This window comes from Homo sapiens, chromosome 5, assembly GCF_000001405.40.
Source record: "Homo sapiens chromosome 5, GRCh38.p14 Primary Assembly".
Classification (NCBI taxonomy): Eukaryota; Metazoa; Chordata; class Mammalia; order Primates; family Hominidae; genus Homo; species Homo sapiens.
The window spans coordinates 178,602,487-178,627,384 of NC_000005.10; the positions used below are offsets into that span (position 1 = coordinate 178,602,487).

At 38.9% G+C, this 24,898-nt stretch overlaps 1 protein-coding gene and 1 pseudogene across 1 annotated transcript, besides 3 other annotated features; both read right to left on the bottom strand.

Moving 5' to 3' along the window:
* Positions 1-177: 177 nt before the first annotated feature.
* CLK4 (CDC like kinase 4) lies at positions 178-24,564 on the bottom strand. The gene is made up of 13 exons (NM_020666.3): positions 24,460-24,564; positions 20,770-20,930; positions 16,070-16,292; positions 14,858-14,948; positions 14,396-14,462; positions 11,241-11,357; positions 10,987-11,153; positions 10,310-10,404; positions 9,930-10,059; positions 5,890-5,972; positions 2,817-2,896; positions 1,358-1,448; positions 178-1,271 (listed from the first exon to the last, which is right to left on the bottom strand). Exons 2-13 carry the CDS (start codon positions 20,928-20,930, stop codon positions 1,131-1,133), a joined length of 1,446 nt encoding a protein of 481 aa, NP_065717.1. The 5' UTR covers positions 24,460-24,564; the 3' UTR covers positions 178-1,130.
* RN7SKP70 (RN7SK pseudogene 70) lies at positions 17,242-17,512 on the bottom strand (annotated as a pseudogene).
* Positions 23,510-24,190: an enhancer, noted in NCBI's record as "H3K27ac hESC enhancer chr5:178052997-178053677 (GRCh37/hg19 assembly coordinates)". NCBI's record gives its function as "activates a minimal SCP1, AML or CMV promoter by ChIP-STARR-seq in naive H9 embryonic stem cells {active_cell/tissue: H9 hESC(naive)}" and the evidence as "EXISTENCE:reporter gene assay evidence [ECO:0000049][PMID:30033119]".
* Positions 23,510-24,532: a biological region, named in NCBI's record as "H3K27ac hESC enhancer GRCh37_chr5:178052997-178053677".
* Positions 23,923-24,532: an enhancer, noted in NCBI's record as "active region_23746". NCBI's record gives its function as "activates an Ori minimal core promoter by ATAC-STARR-seq in GM12878 lymphoblastoid cells {active_cell/tissue: GM12878}" and the evidence as "EXISTENCE:reporter gene assay evidence [ECO:0000049][PMID:35858748]".

Consider the following 24,898-nt stretch of genomic DNA (forward strand, 5'->3'; position numbering starts at 1 on the left):
TTAGTAGAGACAGGGTTTCACCATGTTGGCAAGGCTGGTCTCAAACTCCTGGCCTCAGGTGATCCGCCTGCCTCGGTCTCCCAAAATGCTGGGATTACAGGCGTGAGCCACTGTGCCTGGCTCCATATAGTTTTTATGTGAAAACAAGGACAGTAAAAGAACAACAACAACAAACGCTGAAGTCAAAAAGTTTATGTAACCAATCAATTAAATTCTGGAAATTTCAGCAGCACTTTCTTCCCAAACTGCTTTCCAATCAAATCCTCTTTCTCCCGTAAGAATTATCACAGACATAAATTGCCTAATTAATAAACTTAATTCTTATAGGTTTACGTATTTATGTCATTTGATAAACAGATGCTGGCCAATGTTAAGACTCCTAAGGACTTGGTATTAAAAACTGAAACCTCTCATCAGAATTTCTATTTTTATATCTGTGACTCACCAAACATACTTGGAAATGTCCATTTTCCAAGCTGACTTTCCAGTTAGATTTTAATCTTAAATAAAGTGTGTATGTGGTTTTATTAAACAAACTGTCACAATGGACAAACTGCATGCCTTTCCATGAATGTCTGGTTATCACCCTGACATCACCCAATGAAAAAGAATACAACACTTAAAATTTAATAGAATTCTAACAGTAAACATTTTCTGAGTTTTGGTTTCTAGTACCTGCTTATCTAGAGTTAATAATAATCACCCGTTCAACAATTACAGAAGAAAAACTTTTAAAGTTAAGTTCTAAATTTGAAGTATATAAAGAATATTCCTTTAAGAATATAAAGTAGTCAAGATTTCCTTTTACTCAAAAAAAATCACTTCAGAGGTGACCTCCATGTACAAAAGGCAAGATCAATCACATTTATCACTGGACACAAAGGATATTTCAAAGGTATTTAAAAATGGTAATTTCAAAAAGAAAAATTAATTTTAATTTTTCTAATGCATTATCAAGACCATACTTGCTTAACAAGTTAATTATGCTATTGATACAAAACATACAATATTTACACTTAACTGTACAAAATAATTTAATGTTTACAAAAATATTAGAATGTTTAGTTGACTGACACAGTCTTAAGTAATCTCTTCTAGAGAAGTATATAGTAAGACCACTGATTCCCATTTCATTTCTTTTTTAATAAGTCAAAGAAAGGATGCTGCAATGCTTCATCCAAGGTAATTCTTTGAGTTGGATCATATTCTAACATTCTTCGAACCAGGTCAAACAGTTTCTCATGTTCTTCATCATGACAAAGCATAAATTCCTGGGGGAGAAATGTTTTTGTTTTAAAAAAAATTATTAATAGTGCAAACACGTGGTTTATTTAACCTTTAATCTTTTTTCTTTTACCTTCAACGGTTTGCAGCGTCTCCTAACATATCTACCAGCAGAACTGTGTTCATCCCAATCTAGCTGGTTATGGTGAAAATACTTGCGTTTTCTACAGAAAAAAAAAAAAAGTCTGGATTAGTAAAATAACAAGAGTCGTATCTTTACCCTGCACCCATGAGGGGAGACATGGAAAGCAGCTCTCTCTAAGTGTATAGACTTATATAATATAGATGCATACAATTTTTAAAAACCTCAGCAACAATTATATATCGGACACCTCATATCCTCCACCCTGTGAGGTTTTAGTCTCTCAACTAAGTTGTTCCTATCACATATGGAACAATGTCAGCTTAAAACTAGGGGCCCCCTGGATCCAGTCCTAAAATTCTGTTTTCACTAGATCTAGAATGGGGCTGGAAATCTTTAAAGAACTCCCTCGGTGGCTTCTGCGATGAAGCTGTGTTTGGAAATACCACCTTGTCTAAGAATATACAGCTGGTTAAGGACAGAATAAATTTCACACTTAGAGTGATATGATTCCAAAACACAAGCTTTTCCATATTCTATGTATTATTTTTACATCGCCTTAAGAAAACACTTATGCAAACGTAAACTTGAGTTAAAAAAAAAAAAAAAACAAAAAAAACCCAAAAGCCATTTTGTTTACTAGATCAGTGGTCCTCAACCCTTTTGGAACCAGGGACCGGTTTCATGGAAGCAGATCCGGGGAGGAGGGATGATGGTTTGGAATCAAACTTCCACCTCAGATCATCAGGCATTAGATTCTCATAAGGAACCTTCATGCAACGTAGATCCCTCACGTGCGCAGTTCACAATAGGGTTCACATTCCTATGAGAATCTAATGCCACTGCTGATCTGACAGGAGGTGCAGCTCAGGCAGCAATAATGCTCACTCACCCGCCACTCACCTCCTGTTGTACAGCCCAGTTCCGAGGGGTTGGGGACCCCTGCACTAGATCACAAGGTAAATATTTTTTATTATATTAGTTTTTAAAAACATGGCCTAGTGCAGTGACTCACACCTGTAATTCCAGCACTTTGGGAGGCCAAGGCAGGCAGATCACCTGAGGTCAGGAGTTCAAGACCAGCCTGACTAACACGGTGAAACCCCATCTCTACTAAAAATACAAAAATTAGCCAGGCATAGTGGTGGGCACCTGTAATCCCAGCGACTCAGGGGGCTGAGGCAGAAGAATCACTTGAACCCAGGAGGCAGAGGCTGCAGTGAGCTGAGATCGTGCCACTGCACTCCAGCCTGGGTGACAGAGTGAGACTCCATCTCAAAAAAAAAAAAAGGAGTAAGATGAAGTTAGAAGTTACCTCCAGTACAGAAAAAAAAAAAAAAGTCAAAATCTATAGTCCTTGGAATCAGTATTACAACAACGTTGGGTTTTCTGTAGTTTGAATATATGCTATTGCACATATCCAACAAAAGTCTTGAATCTTAAAACATACCTTGTTTTCTGAATCATGTGTTGTGGTATGGGTCCTAATATTCGTTCCATCATTGCCAGGTGCTCTTTACTATCATGAGTCTAAAACATGTAAGAAAAAGAAATTTAGTACTCTCCATTTCCCTACAAACACATTAACTTGTTTAATCTAAAATTTTAGTTTCCTTCTTTATTTGCACTTCTTACACTGTTTAAAGAATAACTGGGCAAGGTTACCAGAAAAACTGTCTCCTCATTTAATCAGCTGCTTAACCAAAATTAACATCCAGTACCCAATGAATAGTTCACTTGTTAACACTTACTACTCCCAGGCAACAGACATACATACAGTCCCAATAATTCTCTAAACAATTCTGAGCTAGGTATGTGGGAACATGAATTTCAAAAAGGTTAAGATACTACCTCAAAGTCATATAGCTCATATATGAGGAAAGTTAAGCTATCAACCCATGTCAAAGCACATATCCTTAAATTAGTAACGGAGGCTTGGCTGAAGTAGAATACAGAAAACGGTCAAACTTACAGCTGGAATGGTATGCTTCTAGAGCAGAGGTTGGCAAACTTCTGTAAAGGGCCAGATAGTAAATATTTTAGGCTTGGCTCGTCATGAGTGGTCCCTATTGCATACTCTTCTTCTTTTTGTAAAAACAGGCACCAGGCAGGATTTCACCATGGGCCAAAGTTTGCTAACCCTTGTTCTGGAGAGCAGAGGCTGTATGCAACACTTTTAAAAGAAATCTATCAACTACTGTGCCTTGCATATTGCTTCCAAATCGTTGTGATACATGACAGGAATAAGTAATACTAGCTTCACATTTTAAAGAAATTCCTTAGTTTAAGAGTATTTTGCAGGGTGGAGTTAAAATATAAACCACCTCTCAAATAATATATACTTCATTTAAAACTCAAAGTGATTTATAATCACAAAATCACCGGAAGCATCCATTTCATATTAGTCAGATTGATGAAAGCATTCACTTTGCTTAACTTTTTCTTGACCCTACAGCTCACCACTGCAAAACCAGACAATACCTCCCAGAACTGATTAATAACCATGATTCTAAGACATCAAACTTATCTATAAACTCAGAGTACTTTTCAACAGGATCTCTACAGATTAGACAGAAACAGAAATCTGGCGAGGTGCCCCACGAACAGGGAATTCATCATTGTGCAACAGCTGCCTAAGTGACTCTTAGCCCATCATAGCTGCATGCCCCCTGCACTGCTCTAACTTCAAATCAACCTCAACAGTACTAGCTGGGATCTCCAGCCCCTCTTCCCCAAACAAAACAACACAACACCTCGATCATACCATGACCCTATTTAAAGTTCTTCAATGGTTGCATCACCTAAAGCTTTCAAGAATTTAAATTTCAGGCTGGGTGCGGTGGCTCACACCTGTAATCCCAGCACTTTGGGAGGCCAAGGAGGGTAGATCACTTGAGGTCAGGAGTTCGAGACCAGCCTGGTCAACACAGCAAAACCCTCTACTAAAAATACAAAAAATTAGTGGGGTGTAGTGGCTCGTGCCTGTAATCCCAGCTACTTGGGAGGCTGAGACATGAGAATCACTTGAACCCGGGAGGCAGAGGTTGCAGTGAGCTGACGTTGCGCCACTGCACTCCAGCCTGGGTGACACAGTGAGACTCCATCTCAGGGAAAAAAAAAAAAAAATTAAGATTTCAGATGTAAGTACAACTTAAGGACAGAGTGGAAAAGAAAGTAGAGTTTCCTACTTTTTGTTTTACCAATTAAGGACTTTTTATTTTTAAAAGCAAACTACCAACAACTATGACTATCATTACATAAAAGAGACATTAAAAAAAAAAAAAGCAGGAGGGATAATCTCTAAATAAGGGTCAGAATGGCAAACCTAGACAACCATTTTCATTTTGGACCAGTCTACTTTTGGAATCCACTGACTTCTAGGATCAAACCAATACCTTGCGAAGTCTTTTATGAATTGATCCTTGCCTATTGTTATAATTTTCCCATTTATACAAGACACTCTGACAACGCTATTCTTCCCTGAGTAGAATATGTTCCTTTACTCCTCTGTGCATTTACAGATACTATTTCTTCTTCCTTATATGCCCATTGCACTCCAGTTTTCTAACTCCTCCTCCTCTTCCTATGTTCTCAGTGACGCCTTCTCTAAAGTAATTATTAACCTTTCCTGGGTTCTCCCTACCTACACTTTGTCTTTTTTTTTTTTTTTTTTTTTTGCAACAGAGTCTCACCCTGTTGTCCAGGCTGGAGTGCAGTGGCATGATCTCGCTCACTGCAAGCTCCGCCTCCCAGGTTCACGCCATTCTCCTGCCTCAGCCTCCCGAGTAGCTGGGACTACAGGCGCCCGCCACCACGCCCAGCTAATTTTTTATACTTTTAGTAGAGACAGGGTTTCACCATGTTAGCCAGGATGGTCTCGATCTCCTGACCTCATGATCCACCCACCTCAGCCTCCCAAAGTGCTGGGATTACAGGTGTGAGCTACCCCGCCTGGCCCTCCCTACCTACACTTTCTACGTTGTTCCATCACAGCAAATGCTACACTATACTGCGATAACTTTCCAATGTCTTTTGCATGACTTGAGAAAGATGTTGTCTCTTCACCTTTATGTACTTATACTTAGAAATGCCTAAGACATTATAGATGCTTAATACTTAAGAGTAAAATACAATCCCTTGTTGTTTCTGAATTCTTTTATAAAAAGGAATAAGTGACTCGTTCATGGCCATATTGATAGTCAACATAACTATAACTGAAAACTGGCCACATTAACACTACTGCAAATTTATGAAGAAGCTCTACAATTTAAAAAAGGAGACAGTATGAACCATATATGAACCATGTGTTACAAACACTAATCACATGCAAAATTAACTATGATCACTCACTCATAGTAATATTTCATTCAACTGTGGTTTTAAAGAATGACCATTTTGCCTAAGTTTTAATCTCAAGAATAATGATGTATGGCAATTTTCCAATATGGAAGTCAAAACTTTAGCATACCTTTAACGTTTACAATTTGTTATGAATTATTAAATGGAATTTACTAGCCACGTACCTGAAAGACTGTGAAACCAAGGTAATATTCAATAAGAATGCAACCTATGCTCCAAACATCACAAGGCTGAGACCAACCTAAAGCTATTTTAAAACAAATAGAAACATTTTACTATGCAAAAACTTTTAATTGACAGTACATTAAATCCTTCCCTATATGAGTGCTCCCTTTACAGAACCCATTTGGGAGAATAAGACACCAAATTCAGGGTTTATAGTTCTAGTTTTACAGCAAATGCTATTCAACACACTCCATAGTCCATATGCTCACATCAAGACACAGTATTCTAACTAGGGAGGGGTGCATGTTATGTAAAATAAAAGGGGGCTACCATTTTCCAAGTATACAACCAATTCGTGCAAATATTCCATAGTCTCTGAACTGTTTATATAATGGGAGAGCACTGCTGTTAAAACCATTATTATGCTCAGTTCATGGTTAGTCCAAGAATTTTTATATTTTATTAGCACAAATACAGGTTTATAATTATCCTCAGAATGAAATTACTAATGCCTTATCAATTATCATCAGCTTGATGCATGAGTTTACTTCTTCCGTTAAGAGAAATATTACCGTTTTGCACAAATTGTATAAAAGGTATAATGGGAATTTTAAGCAGTTTCACCTATAAGCAGAAATTACAGACACATTGGAGCTCAGAGAGGGATCTATACATAAACATCGGCGCTGTCTATACATGATTTTATATACTTTCTCCTTCAGAATTCTCAATGACAGTATTATTCAGATCAGAATAAAACATCTAGCCTTCTTAAATCTATACTGACTGGGAAGGAGAAAGAACCAACCACATAGATATTTTAATATTTCAAAGATCAAATATTTAGTTAAAAAATGTATAAATAAAATCTACATTCAAAGACATTTCAATTACTTTCATTATCACTGAAGTTAAAGATAAAAGAAGAAATATATTCAAGTCAATATATAATGACTTAAGTCATTTTTGTTAACCATCCGCTCCAGTGTCTGTCATTTGAACAAATGGATAATAATAGAGCATGGGCCAGGCGCGGTGGCTCATGCCTGTAATCCCAGCACTTTGGGAGGCCGAGGCGGGTGGATCACCAGGTTGGCAGTTCGAGACCAGTCTGACCAACATGGTGAAACCCCGTCTCTACTAAAAATACAAAAAAATTAGCTGGGCGTGGTGGCAGACGCCTGTAATCCCAGTGACTTGGGAGGCTGAGGCAGGAGAATGGCTTGAAACCGGAAGGCAGAGGTTGCAGTAAGCTGAGATTGCGCCACTGCACTCTAGCCTGGGCAATAAAAGCAAAACTCCATCTCAAAAAAATAAATAAACAAATAACAAAAATAAAAAATAATAAAAATTTTAAAATATATATATATATATATATATAAATTAGTTGGGTGTGGTGGTGTGCACTTGTAATCCCAGCTACTCAGGAGGCTGAGGCAGGAGAATCGCTTGAACCCGGGAGGCAGAGGTTGCAGTGAGCTGAGATTGCACCACTGCACTCCAGGCCAGGCAACAGAGTGAGACTCTGTCTCAAAAAATAAATAAATAAATAATGGAGCATGGTTTCTACCTATTAACACATACAAAATCCGTAAATGCTAGAGCTTGGACCTCATAAAAGTTTTATTTTTCAACCAGGCACGGTGGCTCACACCTGTAATCCCAGCACTTTGGGAGGCCAAGGCAGGTGAATCACAAGGTCAGGAGTTGGAGACCAGCCTGGCCAATGTGGTGAAACCCCATCTCTACTAAAAATACAAAAAATTAGCTGGGCGTGGTGGCGGGCACCTGTAAGCCCAGCTACTTGGGAGGCTGACACAGGAGAATCGCTTGAACCCGGGAGGCAGAAGTTGCAGTGAGCCGAGATCGTGCCACTGCAGTCCAGCCCGGGTGACAGTGCAAGACTGCGTCTCAAAAAAAAAAAAAAGTTTTATTTTTCAACCACTCCTATCTCCCAATTTAGTCTTTTCCCAGGTGACTGTAATCTTCTGCAGTACACCATTCTAAATCATCTCATTCTTGGATGAGTTAGCTTTTATACCCAACATAAGGCCAACTGCCTACTTCAACTCTAGCACCTGACTACATTTTCCCCTCCAATTGCATTATGCCTTCATCCTCACTCCACAAACAAAGGACCTTTCTATTCTCCCAATCTCCTGATTCTTTCTCCTCAAGGCCAGGGACTCCAATTTCAGATTTGTACTATCCCTTGCTTGGCCACATTTGGAACTTTATTAATAAGATTGACCATATTCTGGTGGGTGCGGTGGCTCACACCTATAATCCCAGCACTTTGGGAGGCCAAGGCAGGCGGATCACTTGAGCCCAGGAGTTCGAGACCAGCCTGTGCAACATGGTGAGGCCCTGTCTCTGTTATAAAAAACATAAAAATTAAAAAAAAAAAATCCTTGGCCGGGCGCGGTGGCTCACGCCTGTAATCCAAGCACTTTGGGAGGCCGAGGCAGGAGGATCACCTGAGGTCAGGAGTTCGAGACCAGCCTGGCTAACATGGTGAAACCCCATCTCTACTAAAAACTATAAAAATTAGCCGGGTGTGGTGGTGGGCACCTGTAATCCCAGCTACTCAGGAGGCTGAGTTAGGAGAATCGCGCGAACCTGGGAGGTGGAGGTTGCAGTGAGCCGAGATGGTACCACTGCACTCCAGCCTGGGTGACAAAGTGAAACTCCATCTCAAAGAAAAAAAAAAGGGGGGGGTTACTATATACTATATTTTACTCAATCTAGGATAGCACACTGTACGATGCACCACTGTTTGATATACCAATAACAAAGAAAAAATGCCAAATATTTGGGGAAAAATCTGATTCTTAAAATGAGGAATCTATTGCCTTCTAATCTCTGAAAATACCTCTCTGTCCACTATCTCTTCCCATATTGCTTTCTTTTACCCTTACACAGTAGCTCCTTTCAATTTGTACTACGCAGAAACCCTATTATTACGCATTTAAAAGACAAGCTCTAGAGTTGTGCTTGTTCAATATGGTAACCACTAGCCACATGTGGCTGTTTAAATCTGAAATAAAATTAATGTAAACTCAAAACTCAGTTCTCCTCAGTCACACTGGCCCCACTACAAGGTAGTCAGTCACGCACAGTGACTAGTGGCTACCATATGGGACAGTGCAGAAATGGAACATTTCCGTCATCAAGGGAAGTTCTGTGGGCAAGAGCTGCACAGGATTCTTGATTTCCTCACTCCTTTACTACTCTACTCTAGGTAAGTATCAAGAGTTTGCTTTTACACTCCTATTCTGAACTACCAAGTCCCGTTGGACACACAAAAAAAGTAAAAAGTATTAAAATACGATTCCACAAAAATGCTTTACAATCTAACCTCAGTTGGACCTAACTTTAGGCTAAGTAATCAGCTTATTACATTCAACTCTCTTGATATGCCTGATCTGAATGTTTCCCAATGTCTCCAAGCTCCCAAGCCAATCTCTGACTTCCCTGATTTATTAACACACCTGATCTATAACTTTTAATGTTGAGGCATAACACTCCCTTAATAAGTCCCTTCTTATTTGAAAACTCTGCACCTTAACTCATTTTCTTTCCCAGACTTTCTCACATCAAGGGTTATCACAGGAGCTCTTAGAGAAGCCTCTTTCTTCTCTTGACCTTTATCCATCCTATATTCTAGACATCTGCCAACCAGTTTCCTCAGTATTTTTACCAGCCATGTGCTTTTGTGATGGCATGAAAATAGGTACTCATATAACTTCAAAATCACATTTCTTTGATGCATTTAGCTAACACAGCCTGTTCTCTTATGATCATTTAAGATTTACTTGTTCAAAAATAACCACCACCTGGAATATCTTTCCCAGACAGTATCACATGTTTACCACTCAGGAAAAGTATTTATAGCAATGTCCACACATTTTTTATGAAAATAGAAAACGTTTTCTGAATCCTGCTGAGAAGATCATACTTCCCCACCCCACCAGTAAAGCTGTAAAGAACAAAAATCTCTTCTTCAATTATAATATTAGAAAGCCTGGTGTCTACTGACCCAAAATGACCTCGGGAGCTCTGTAGTGCCGGGTAGACACCAAAGTACTGTGATGTTCATCATCATACGTTGCACTTCCAAAGTCAACAACTTTGATATCTGTGTTTTTCAGTGTGCGTTCATCACGTTTCTAGAGAGACACAGTTGAGTAAACATGAAACTCAATAGATACATTTTATAGCGCTACTCAAAAGGCCAGCACATGAATTATCTTCTTGATTGTCAAAGTAAGCTCATGAGAAAGGCAAAGAAGGATTACTTCTTTTTGGTTAAACAACAGGATATAATAAGGCTCAGAAGTGAAATTCCTCATCCAAAGATCATCAAGTTAAATTAATTTTAAAGACAACCACCCAAATTAAAACAAGTCTTTAACTTACCATTTTAGAATTATATTTGACTACATAGTCAGACTTCACAAACAAAATATTTTCAGGCTTCAGATCTGTATGGGTTAATTTATTATGATGTAAAACTACAAGAGAACAAAAGCACATTATTAGTTTCACTTACAAACTTAATTTGTACTAGGAGGGAAAGGAGGACTGGCAAAGGATATAGTGGTCAAGAGACGATTCATCTTTACTTGTAAAATGTCTGTTTTTTTAGTGACAACATTTGGATATATAGCTTGTATAATAAAAACAAGTTTTCTGGTGCTTAAAGATTTATCTTAATTGTTAAGGAGGTACAAACATAAAAAATATTTAAAAATAAAGATTTATTGCTGTGCACAGTGGCTCACGCCTATAACCCCAGCACTTTGGGAGGCCGAGGGGGGCAATCACAAGGTCAGGAGATCGAGACCATCCTGGCTAACACTGTGAAATCCCATCTCTACTAAAAATACAAAAAATTAGCTGGGCATGGTGGTGGGCGCCTGTAGTCCCAGCTACTCGGGAGGCTGAGGCAGGAAAATGGCGTGAACCCGGGAGGCTGAGCTTGCTGGGACCCGAGAGCGCCACTGCACTCCAGCCTGGGTGACAGAGCGAGACTCCGTCTCAAAATAAATAAATAAATAAATAAATAAAAATAAAGATTTATCAAGTGTACTTACAATTTATTGACTGGCAGATCTGATACGCCATCTGCCTGATGTGGTCAATTTGAAATGGCAGAAAGCTGTTTTCTTTAATGAAATCGTAAGTACTAAGTCCCAGTAGTTCAAACACAATACAAACATGACCATGATGATCAAACCATTCTAGCATCTGGACACATCGGCTAAAACAGAGCAAAATAATAATTCAGTTTATGGAAACCTGAATATTTCATGTAATATGATGGCTCCTAGGTGAAAGTTATACTTACAAGACACTATTGGGATCAGTACTATTTAAGTGCTCTAATACTTGGATTTCTGAACGAGCTGCTTCACGGTAACGGCCTACATTTTTTACGATTTTCACTGCTACATGCATGCCATCCCTTAAAAATAAAATTAAGATAAAAATGATAAATGTACAAGAGTGAGCTGAAGCCATGTTATGCTCTAAAGCATAGTCTTAATTACCAATTCCTCTATGCCATTTAAAATAATCTTTCAGAACATATTATAGCAGATTCCATATAACATCTTCTTAAAACATTTTGATAAAATACTTTATATGAAGTGATAATTCCCTTAATACTTATGAGTTTTAACGTTTGCTCCTAGAATTTTAAATTTAATTACATTTTATACAACAACAGTTTTAAAAGATATATACAAATGTAAACCAAAAATAGGATATGCTACTGTTGAAAGCATTCATTCATTTACCAGGCTAGGCCTACTCTGTGCCAGGCAATGCACAGATATTAGTGATTAAAAGACGGGGTGTGTCCCTACGTACTTCAAAGTCTAATGGAAAAGACAGACACAGAAACAACTTAGACTTCTTCACAGAAGAGGTGACACAGAACTGAGTCCTGAAAGATAGCTGGGAGTTTGTCAGATTGGGAAGGAAACATCCAGGTAAAGGAGACCCCAACTCTAAGTAATGAAGCCCAGAAAAACCTTAGCAGATGCACTGATGCCAGTATACAGAAACAGCTACAGGGGAGGGCAGTGGGCTTTAGACTGCGGCATCTGTAAGAATGCTTCCTAAAAAGTATAGAGCCATAAATGTTGCAAATCTTCAATTTATTTTTGTCTTCCTTTTTAAACCTAATCTACCTACAGATGAGCCAGCATTCAAGCCTTCTTTTTCACTATGACCCTTCCACTTTACAAAACCATACCCATCTCTTACTAGTGTAACAGGATGTATGCCCTAGGCTATAAAAACATTTGGGGCAAACAAACACGTATTCTAATGGCTGGATACAAAACCTTTTTCCACATCCAGTGGTTTCCAGTTCATTGCTTTCAACAAGGCCCCAACGAATGTGAACTGATAAGTCACTAAAAAAATTTTTTAATGCTTGGCATATACCTCAAGACTTAAAAGAACTCTAATAAGATTACTGTGACAAAGCTTCTACTCCTATCTATTTAATTATATGACCAAAAAGTTTTCTCAGTGCTTGTATCCACGAAAATGAAAAAAGAAAACATACAATGCTAGACAGTCAGATATTTATCTATGGCTATATGTACTCATTTTTTTAGAGGCCTCAACTGCCCCAATAAAGGAAACATTCCAGGCCAGATGTGGTACAGGTGTGTGCCACACGTGACTACAGGCTCACACCTGTAATCCCAGCACTATGGGAGGCTGAGGCAGAAGGATCACTTGAGGCCAGGAGTTCCACACCAGCCAGAGCAACACAGTGAGACTCCATCTCATTAAAAAAAAATTTTTTTTAAGATACATTTCATTAAATACACCAAGACTTAGACTTTCAAGAAATTCTAAAAGGACATTAATGGGATGACTGGTGAAATCTGAATAAAGTCTGCAGATTAGTTGGCAAAATTTGAAAACAAATGTATGTATAATGATAAAGCAAATCTTATAAAATGTAAACATTTGGAAAATAGGTTAACATTTGGAATATATGGGAATTCTTTGAACTATTTTATCAATTTTTCTGTAAGTCTGAAAATATTTCAAAATACTTTAAAGTTCAATTTACATTCACATATTTGTTGCAGAAAAGCAAAATGTGGGGATAATTTAGGATAGTATTTATGGAAAGTGAAATGACAATAAATTCAATAATAAAACATTTCTAAGTATTCAAGAAGAGTTTGTTTATGGATGATGGTAGGTATCAAGCTGCTATGGTATTTAGATTCCCTGAAATGCATTTAGAGAGAGGTAAGTTTTATTTTTTAATATTAATATTTACAACAGGTTGGAAATTACATCCTTCCCAAATAATTTATGATAAAAAATTTTGTCATTTTAGAAATGTGAAGTTTCGCAAAAGTTCTAAGAGCTTCTCTTACAAAAGTTTTCAAGCCACAAAATAGAGGTCCTAGAGGAAAACGGTAAAATGAGGCAGAAAGGGTCAAATCACAAACTTTATTCTCTAGGCCCTAGATAATAAAATGTCTTTATAGTTTAGGAAGCTAACTCTTAACATTTAAGATTAGACATGCTTTATTGCCTCTGTAATCCGAAATTGCCAAATCTTATATACAGGGTCAAGGGCCTCAGTTCTGGAGTTCTGGGAAATTCCTTCACTTGAACATCCACTTTAATTTCAATGATTTCCCCCTGTTGAAATTTGTCATCATTCTTTTTTTTTATTTTTATTTTTTTTGAGACGGATTTTCACTCGTTGCCTAGGCTGGAGTGCAATGGCACAATCTTGGCTCACCGCAACCTCCGCCTTCCTCCCCTCCTGGGTTCAAGTGATTCTCCTGCCTCAGCCTCCCAAGCAACTGGGATTACAGGCATGTGCCACCACACCTGGCTAATTTTGTATTTTTAGTAGAGAATGTATTTCTCCATGTTGGTCAGGCTAGTCTTGAACTCCCAACCTCAGGTGATCCACCTGCCTTGGCCTCCCAAAGTGCTGCGATTACAGGAGTGAGCCACTGTGCCCGGCAGTCAGCATTCTTAAGATCCACATTCACGGTAAATAAATCATACAAAGTTCAAGAAACTTTGGTGAGTAATTTACCCCCCAAAACACGTGGCTACCATTTAAAATATATTCCATCTTGGCCGGGCACAGGGGCTCAGGCTTGTAATCCCAACGTTTTGGGAAACTGAGGCGGGTAGATCACTTGAGGTCAGGAGTTCGAGACCACCCAGGCCAACACGGTGAAACCCCATCTCTATTAAAAATACAAAAACTAGCTAGGTGTGGTGGCAGGCTCCTGTAATCCCAGCTACTTGAGAGGCTGAAGCAGGAGAATCACTTGAAGCCGGGAGGCGGCAGTTGCAGTGAGCCAAGATAGCACCACTGCACTCAAGCCTGGGCAACAGAGGCCCTATCTCAAATAAATAAATAAATAAAATTTCATCTGAATTATGAATCTTTCCCCACCAAAAACATCAGAATGTTTGAAAAGGAAAAAACAAACTTACATGCCATGATCAATGCACTCTACAACTTTGCCAAAGGCTCCTTCACCCAAAGTGTCCACGATTTCATCTAGAGTGAGGAGGGAAAAAGAGGTGTAAGTACCTGAGTACAAACTGTCTAGTTCTTCAAACAATGAATGCTTAAGTGTGGAATATTTTCAAATGATCTCTAACAAAGCATAACTAAGGTTTCAGCACTCAAATTATTTTAGTTTCAGCTGCTACAAAAACAATTAGATAGAGCTATCTTTCTTGCTCTAATCTCAAATTCCACTGATTATTTTGGAACTTTAGAATAGAAATATTTAAATTCTACAGAAAAGAAGAAATATAAAAGAACAAACAAACCCACAAAAAGCAAAATAAAAAAGCAATGAAGAGTTCTTTAGCCCCCCGCTGACAAACTATTCTTAAAAAGATTATTCTTTCTGCAAAGTTTAAAAAGTGTTGAAAAATATTCTATACATCTTGCTCTTAGAACGTCTCCACTTTGACAGATCAGGTGACCCTCCTCATCATCCTCTATACTCCTGGATCTTTTCCTTCGGTGGCTCTTCTGGAACGGCAAGTGGGCAGCACCAAGATCGTCCAGCCAATCAATATATCAGAGTGAATTCAGGGCAGAATACGCAATTCATTCAGCGGGGAGATATTCAGGCATTCAGATAAGCACCAGGCCACGAACAGTTGGCAGGAGCAATTTCAAATTCAGTCCCCAGAAATTCACAGGGCACAGTTTATGTTACAGAAGAAAAACATGGCAAGGAACAGATTTTCAGATAAGATACTTAAAGTGGCAATAGAAAAAAACAACACAATTGTCTCTTTAAAATACTGATTTAATTGAAGTCTGAAATTTAAAGAATGCAATGTCATGATTTACTTATCTCTTGCTATAAACAGCATATGCTGTGAATTGAGATGTCTAGTTTTTCAGAAAAATGTTTTAAAATGTCAAGACTATTTGAAATTATTCTAATTTAGCAATATTTTAAAATATACATGATTAAAATAAAAGGGGAAAATAAAGGCTAGTTAATTTCAATGTTCAATCTAATAAAAACTAGTTTTACTGAAGAAAACTTGGGGAGAAACTAATTCAAAGTTCACTGTTCAAGCAGGTGAAGATGTCTGAGTGTTAAAAAAAAAAAGGGGGGGGCAGACTTTTTGGATGTTTCCCATTCAGCACCCATTTTCACAACTTCAAAAGAATTCATTGCAGACAATGATGCACTGGACTATGGAACTATGCTCTATGCAGGTTAGTAACATTCAGGTGTCCACCAGTGCAATATTTCACATTTATTTTCAAGTACCAGATAAAGGGTTTCTAAGAAAAAAAAAATGCTTAAGATGAAAGAAAAGATATGGGTGCATGATTTTTTCATAAGAATATGTTACAAATAAAAAAATAGTTTTATTATTAAAATCAATAAACTCATTATCTGGTCTGCAGAATATGAGGAAATGTGGGCAAATGAGGGCTAGCTAATAAATATACAGATCAGCTACAAGAATTTGGAGGTTTCCTTTAAGGATTTAAGTAATATAAATACAATTATAATATATCCAAATAGTATTTTATATATATATATATAAAAAATTAGAAACTTATCAGCTCGTTAAGAGTACACACAAATAAAACTCCACTCAAATTGAAAACAAAACCAATCATACCGAACGTGACTGATGACTTGAACAGTGTCTATTGCGCTTCCTTTTAGGACTGCTTCTCCTGCTGCGGACTGAAGATTTACTGCAGTGGATTCGATACCCGCTTTCAATGTCTCTGTGATAATGTCTAGGAACATATCCTTCACAGTAGTCATTCCTGTATTCGTCAACGTATCTCCGGTCCCGATAATCTCGCTCATTCAAGGACCTTGCTTCTAAATAATGACTGCAAACACATTAAAAGATTTCAAATTATTCTCTTCATTCTGCAATAATGTGGTTCAAACAAAACATTTTCTCAGAAATTCTTAAACAGCTAACTCAATATAAGAAAAAAATTCAAACAGATGAATTAGCATTTATATTTATCTCATAAAGCTTAAGAAATAATTTTACTTTAACAAACAAGCAAATGGGCCCATTATAGAGTTTGCTGTCAAGCACTTCACACCAAGGAATAAAGCTTGAGTCAAATCATTAATTCATGTCTAGTGTTTACTTGATTAAGTGTTCCTTTACCTTCTGCACCTGTATCTAAGCTGTCTTAGTCTCTCACAGAGGTACAATCAGAGGCAGGCAAAAAGGATTCCTTTCTCTTGTAATGTAAGAGCATTTTAGATATCCCTGGCACAGAGAGAATTCCTTCATGAAAGGTATATTAGAGCTATAAGGAGCCTTAAATGTATTCCAGCCCTTTCATTTTACCGACGACTACATTAAGATCCCTAGAAGAAAAATGATTTACCAAGGTTGTATAACAACATTAGTGACAAAAACTAAAATATTTTCAAACCACTATTATACAGGCCAATTTTATTACACACAGCATCTATCATGTCTCCTCTACTCTTTGCATTTCTAGCCTTGTTATTCCTGTTTGAGAAATAGAAAACATAGCTTTTGAGGACTGCCTCATGTGCCAAAGGCATCTAAAATATATCCCCCTAAAATAAGAAAGGGATCCTGTAGTTTAGCATTACAATAGTTCCACCACCCTACTTCCCTTTGCATTTCTAATTTCCTGTCATTCCTGTTTGAGAAATACCTAAGAAACAACAGAAAACACCATCATCTAGTGCCATCGTGCTTTAATCTAGAGATCCCTTTGAAAATCTGCTGAAAGCCATGGACTCTCTTTCCTAAGAAACACATAAACAAAACTTGGCAAGGAATTTCAAAGGTCATGGGCCTCAGGATGTCAATGGATCCCAGTTAAGTGGCCTTGATCTGATGGAAAGAAAAGGACATAGATTCAATTGGCCCAGTTTCCCGTCCCCCTCTCTACCTGGGATGAGTGTCCTCTTCAACAGAGTGCGAAGCTTCAAGAGGGATGCACATGGAGCACTGAGGGAGAGAGGGGACACCTGCCCAGTCAGACACATCGGCTAAAATAAGCCTAACAAGCAATGGAGTGACGGATGTTGACTAGATTGCCCTCACCAACCCCTTTCCTTTCCCCAGAATATGCTGTCATTCTTTTTCCCAGGGGGCTGGTTTAGGCAGAAATAGAAGCATCTTTACAACTACTACCCAATAGGGCTAGCATCAAATCCAGGCTGGGGAGATACAGAAACCCGGTTCTCTTTCCCTAGCATCAGCTTTAAGTTGTATTTATTGGAGAAACAACTCAGGATATTTGGGTAAGACTGTGGGTAGTCTAGGTCAGATATCTGATCAGTTGGCTTGGAACTGTCAGGGAGAGATCACCAATACAATAAGCTAGACGTGACCATACTCTTAAGGGCATCCTTCCCATAAAAGTCCAAAATCCTTCTATTAGAAAAAACTAGCACTAACAATCTTTAGCTGGAATACTGCATGGAATTAGAGCTGCTAAGCCATAAACAACGTATAGAGTAACAAAACATGGAGTGAACACCATGAGGACAAACTAAAAGGATGAGAGTCTCTTCAATAGATAATGGCCAATGACCAAGGCTGAGAGATTATATAAACAAAGTCTACAGAATTACACAGGCTATGGACAGGGTAGACAGGATGAACAGACTGATTTAATTTTTTAAAATATCCACTGAATGCCCAGTGAATATTTCACTATAGCCTTTCAAATAGCCAAGACGGATGAGGGTAAGGGCATTCGTTTTTATATCCACACAGGTCCTGTGGGAGATAAAAAAAAAATTATATAAGGCAAAGTCCCTGCCAACAAATAATGAACAATTTGAGATTACTCACATAAAAATGAAACAAAATCCAACAATGTAGGAAATTCTAAAAGGTTACAACACATGAGTGCTTAGAGTCAGAGATGGGGGAAAAAATCTGTTTAAAATGGTCAGAGAATAATTACAAAAAAGATGGAAATAGAGTTGCATCTTAAAGGGAAGCCAGGATTTGGAAAAAGTAGAATACAGAAGAAATTCCGGGGGAGAAGAATGGCATATTACCATCTTAAATTCATATGGCACTTTTAGCCACAATGGCTTAGAGATGGAATTGTCTATGCATTACTCAGGAAAAAGACAATCCCAGCAAGAGCAATTTTCACATAGGGGAATGTAGACAAATAAGTAAGCTGAGAATAGCATCATTAAAAACCCTGCGTGCTAGGCTAAAGAGTATTATTTCTCAAAGGACGGTCTATTTATCAACAGTATCAAATATGGAGTTCTTATTAAAAATGGTAACCCTGGGCCTTAGGTCATACTCACTGACTGTAAATCTGGTCAGCATACCTCCAAGGTGATTCTTATTCACACTAAAGTTGGAGAATCACTGGTTTAAGACTTGATACTTTATGTTACAGGCTTCTGACCACAATATATAAAGGTAGGGTTTACAGCCACATCAGTCTTTCTAATGCAGAATGGATTAACTAAGCCTGTAGAAAGGGAGACCAATTCACAGGCTACCTCCAAAAGACAAATCATAAAGAAAAGACACTATGCAATATATATATGACAAATGGTTAAAATATTGTAATAAAAAGCTCTTCTAAATCAATAAAAATACTTTAATAAATAGGCTAAGAATAAAAAGATGTTCAAATGATCAATAAATATATGACAGCGGACAAATTCGTTAGAAATTTAAAAATTCAGTTTAATCAAAACATTATGCTTGGCCTTTCAAAACAGCCAAGATTGGTGAGAGCATGAAGGAGCACGTTGTATAATTTGGCAAACTCTCTAGAAAAAGAAATATGAACCTGTAGCAAGAAATAAGAGTTCACATGCTTTAACTTAAAAATGCTTCTTCCTGGAGTGTATTTTCAGGAAATAATCAGTGGCAAAGATTTAGAAACAAAGATTTTTTTTTTAATTATAATTTTACAGCTAAATAATGGGGACTAATTTCCTACAGAGATTACCATCTTTATACTTTTCTGCATTTTTCAGTTTTTTGTTATTTTATAAAAACACTCAAAGTTTTTGACCTTCAAAAATTAGAATATTCTGGATCATGGTAAACGCTGACCACCAAACACATCTGGTACAAATATCAAAGCAGGCACTGGCCTGGTGGTTAACTGGACTCAGTATCATGTTTACGTAGTTAACTATGAGCACAAATGAACTGTTCATCACTCATATCACTTCCTTTCTATATATACAACGTATAATTATCCTATGAATAACCAGTACTATGACGTTAAGCCTTAGGGTTTTTTGTATTTATTAATAGTGGGGTACAGATGGTTTTTTTTAGTGTACTGTACATTAATTATTAATTATCTCTGGTCTCTGAAATCCTGTCATAAACCTTCCCCCTTCCCCTTATATAACAATGCGTATGAAGCATGATTTGTCTGCACTGACTACAAATAAGCTGTTTGGCAGAACAAGTCTGTTAACGTGGAGAAGGAAAGAAATTACATACTGTTTTTTAAAGTAACCCCAGCTGGCTAATTTAGAAAGCAATCTGGTAAACAGTCCCAATGGAACATCTGCACAAAACGAGAAAACAGAACCAACAAAACAAACGAAAAAGGGAAATTAATGAAAGAGTGAAAACTTACCTAGCCTTTCTTTAATCATTTAGAACTTTAAGATTCCTTTAATTCTATATAAATATATTACCTCCAAATTGTACACTGGTAAGAATACAATAAAACAGCACACATGCTGTTGCAAGTTTTTATTGAGGCCATTTCCCAAATTACTAGCTACTACCTATGCAAAAGAATAGTTCTTAAATAAAGCCAGCTTCTAAAAATCCCAAACATATCCCTTGGCCTCATCTACAAATATAACCTGTACGACATGGTATAAGTGACTAATAATACATGCTGCTTTTCTCTGTTGGAATAACTCCTCCCCTATAAAACCCTACCTTATTTCTGAAACAATGAGCACTACAACATACCCATCTCCCTCCTACATACAAGTTAAAGGTACTCATTGGGCATTCTATCACTATTACTTAACTTTTTGTGTGTCATCTCCCTAATCACGTTACTGGCAGTTGGGACTCACCATGTTATTTAATACATTTCACATTCACTTACTGATCAACTGTCTCCTACCACTCCCAGGCAGACAGACATACATAAGGATAAGAACTTTGTTTTATTTACAGCTGTAGCCTCAGCGCCTATCTAAAATAAGTACTCAAATATTTTCTAAACGAATATTTGTTGACTGAATTATAAAACAATTTGACAGATGAAAGCTATATAAGCAAATGACAAATCATTTAAAACTATTAGAGCTAAAATGCTAGTAGTTCAAGAGTTAATTTACCAATCAGATTCTTTAAACTGGTGATGTGGTTTACAATGCCTGTTCTCTTGTGTGCTACTATGAGATCTCCTCTTCCGCTTGTGACTTCCACGATAGCTTTCATGTCCCCAGCTTTCTCTGCTATCCCAATCAGGACAGTGAGTTCTTTTGGAATGCCGCATCTGTTGATAGAAATGAAAAGGGAATTGTGGAGGTTACAGATGTGTGATAGGTAAATTATTATATATTAATATTATTTAAGTTATCAAAACCCAACACACAGGGTCTTACAGGCTCCAAAATCTTTTTAGGTGGTAATGCTTCCCAAGGCACTGGTATGTCAGATGACTGCTAAGAGGCATAGAGATCTAGTATTAAATTGTGGGTAATACTGATACCTTAAGACATTTTTTTTTTTTGAATTCTGATTACAGCCAGGACAAATTCTCAGCTTGGTGCTTGTCTTCAACTAACACTTGCTAACTGCCTTTTTAAAAATTAAAAAAAAGCCGGGGGGGGCAAATAAAAAGGTTCAGGCCTAGTGTTTCCAGCAGACAAGAGTATTTAGCTAAAAATTAGTAACGTTTTTATTTATCTTATTTTGTTACTTTCTACTTATTAGTGATTTTCCAATTAAGTTATTGACATATTTTCTTTTAAAAATGTTAACATTAAAATGTGAGCTGATTTAAGGAGAAATAATATCAGTGTCATGCAGCTTTGGCAAAGTACTGTAATACAAATAACTGAAGTGCAAGACAAAAACACTTAGGGATACTAAATATGGGAGGTGACTTTGTTTTAATGGTAAAGAGCTATTCAATGATGAAGCTTCTTTTTCTCAAATTCTCCATAGTTCTTTTCTCTAAATCTCAGAATGACTCTAAGCTTTGAGAATATTAGTTCTGTGTGGATAGAACACAATATTCAACAGAGAAACTGAAGAGATATAAAAAGGTGATTTTAGGCCGGGTACGGTGGCTCATGCCTGTAATCCCAGAATTTTGGGAGGCCAAGCCCAGGAGTCTGAGACCAGCCTGCGCTACACATAGTGAAACTGTCTCTACAAAAAAAATTTTTTTAAATGTTTATGTGATTTTATGAACTCATTTTCTCTATCCAACAAGTTCATTTTCTTATCCAGCAGTTATTCTTAACCTTAAAATCTATTTGTAGTAAATCTGGAGTAACTCTGAAAAAGAACTCAACCTACAAGGATGCACACTGAAGCATGGTCACAGTGAAAGCAAACGATAACGGTGACAGCTGACTTTATTTACAAACTCCAGTGCATAACCTGGGTTCCTTCCAGGCTCAGCATCTGCGCTCAAACAATATAACCCCTATCTGTCTCTCCCCATCTTAATTATTTTCCAAAACAGTTAAGTTTTAACAGTCAGGTCCAAATTCTCCTAAACAGGGTGAGTTTAAATGGTAAAAAGAGAAGAATTTCACAATTCAGCAAGGAGCTGAAAAAAGCTAAAATGGAGTAAAACCCACTCAGTTAACCTCATTCAGCTTGCCCAAATGACTAATAAGCAAACAAATGCAAGCAGAAATTTAAATGATTTTAAATGGATTAAAGGTTTTGGAGTGAGGCAGCTTCAATTCTTCTGGGAGGTATTCCACAAGAAAGTATGTGTCACGCCATCAGAGTCTGATTGCCACCAGATAGTCAGATATTTTAATTCACTCTCTTGCTGATTCTAATTCTATACCCATCAAGCATCCTTCTAAGGTGGCTCTCAGCTCACTTTACAGAGGAAGAGAAGGCACTGATCAGGCCAAACAGCAATTCTAAAACTCTTGTTAGCGTCTCAATGGAAGTGAGCATTCCGGTTTGATACAAATGGAGTCACTTCCATATGGGAACGTGACATGAATAACAGCACACATTTACTTGAGGCAAAAGGCCAAAACACAAACTTTCTTCATTAGAGCTATCAAGAAAAATTTATGGCTGGACGCAGTGGCGCCTCATCCCTTGAGCCCAGGAATTCGAGACTGGCCTGGGCAACACGGCGAAACCCTGCCTTTACAAAAAATACAAAAAATTAGCCGCACATGGTGACTCGAGCCTGTAGTCCCACCTACTGGGACAATCACTGGAGCCCAAGGAAGTCAAGGCTGCAGTGAGCCATGATCACGCCATTGCATACCAGTATGGGCGACAGTGAGACCCTGTCTCAAAAAAAAAAAAAAAAAAAAAAAGAAAATGTGTATTTCAAGTGCAGTTCTTCTGAAGCGTTCCGTCAAATACCAAAGTTGTATTTTAACCACATCAGGAACTCAGCTTGGTTAAGCATTTTTAAATCATAGCAAGCAAAATCACATCTGATGACCGAGCGTTATTATTATGACCCTCCATTACTATGAAGTTTTTTTCAAGACTTATGTATCTTCTTCAGTTTTGTTTTTTCCTCTTCTACTGTAAGTCTGCTTACAACCAGCTAACCTCCAGCAAAACAGAACTCTCAAATTATCAGTTAATATGCAAACATTAAAATAAGAACGAGCTCCGTTGTGAGAGTCCAAAATTCTTCTCAAGTTCACTACTTCAAATGTAATTCAGCTGTTAGTCCCAGCCTCTGACCTCCCCCACTCACCCTGCAATGTTCAAAAATATTTTATCTGGAGGCACAAAGATCACCCGACCCACGTTCTACGTGGTAAGGTTCCTTCGCATACATAAAAAAGAAAAGCTATCTAGAATCATGACACTGCCTCTAATAAAGCATCCCACATGCTAGAGTAGGTATCTTTCAAAAAATAATGACACAATGGATCTCATATGTAGATCCATCGCCACTGCCCTTAAGATCCTGTAGTTCTTGACAACTTTACGCTACGTACATGGCTTAAAAACATCGAAACAGGTTATAAGTTTAGGATTGGATGGCTCCAAGAGGACTGCATTTAATGGGTTACAAGCCTGTAGGGGTGTGTAAAAAGCACAATCGCACAGGACAGCTATGAGGCAAGACAAAGTGGCTGGCGAGTTCAGTTTGCGGGGCGGTTTCCTAAGGATCGGATAAGCCTATCTGGACTATTTAGGCAACCAGGGATAATAAGATGCAAAACCACCAGAAACGCAGGTTCGCTGCAACAATGTTGTGTTCAGCATAGCACAGAGGACTAGCCTCCGCAAATTTCCACCTCTCACAAGCAGCTACTGCCCTCAACCACCTGGATTTGCACGGACGCCCGGTCCCCACCTCCCGGCTCCTGGGCACCCGGCCAGTGCCTTTGGCGCACTCAAGACAGGGGCAAATGCTTGACTCTGGAAAACCCCCGAAACGCTACAAACGGCCCAGGCCAGGAATCCAGGGGAAGACTTGATCTCCGACAACACGAATGCCAGAGACGGCTCTCGAAGGGTCTCCCGACAGGTCCTAGCGCCCGCCGGCTGGAAGAGGTCCCGACAGGGTTAACCAACAGCCGCGCTCGCCAGGCAGCAGGGGACCGCGAGCCCACGGCCTCCGGAGCCGCGACGCGAGCGGCCAGGGCCCTCAGAGAAGGGTCAGCGGCAGAACCGCGACGCCCGAGCAACTTTCGGTGCTGCCGGCGTGCACCAGCCGAGCAGCGCCTCGCAGAACTCCCAACTCAGCTCCAGAAGCCCAGGCCCCTAACGCGGTCGTTTCTCCGACACCTGGCTCGGAGACCTAAAGACCGACAGCCGCCTGTCCCAGCACACACCATCTGCAACCCTACCTCCGCAAAAGCAAATGGCCCTTCGGCCGAGAAATGTCGCCAAACTGCCGTCTTCCCTCCTCGGCCGCTGCGACAAACACCCCACAAAATGGCGGCAGCGCCGTCGCCCTAGAATCCCCCGAGTCGCCTCTAGCACCACCTACGCCGCGCGAACGCGCCTGCGTGACAGAACCTTGCGCGCTCCCGCCGCTCCACCTAAGGGCGGGGCTCCACGTGACGTAAGAGCGGGGCTCGAGCCTCCACACTGCGGCTGCGCGGCCCAAGCATTTCCACCCCCCCCCCCCCGCCCACCCGGTCCCGGGGCCTCTAGGCCGGGAGGGTGTTTACGTTCTCTACGGGCTCGGGTGGAACCGGGAAGGAACGCCCGTGTCCCGCCCTCAGTGTGTACCGCGTGTCTGCCCCCTCCCCCGGGACCTCAACTCCCGCAGCCGGCACCCGA

Bases quoted from the DNA above. Each gene is read 5' to 3' on its own strand.
- CLK4 (NM_020666.3), bottom strand. From the start codon at position 20,930: ATGCGGCATTCCAAAAGAACTCACTGTCCTGATTGGGATAGCAGAGAA. The intron at 14,949-16,069 runs GTATGATTGGTT...TTGCCGTTCCAG, and splicing joins CAAGTCATCAGTCACGTTCG to AAGAGCCACCGAAGGAAAAG. The intron at 5,973-9,929 runs GTCAGTAGACAC...GTTTTAAAATAG, and splicing joins AGCTCCCGAGGTCATTTTGG to CTTTAGGTTGGTCTCAGCCT.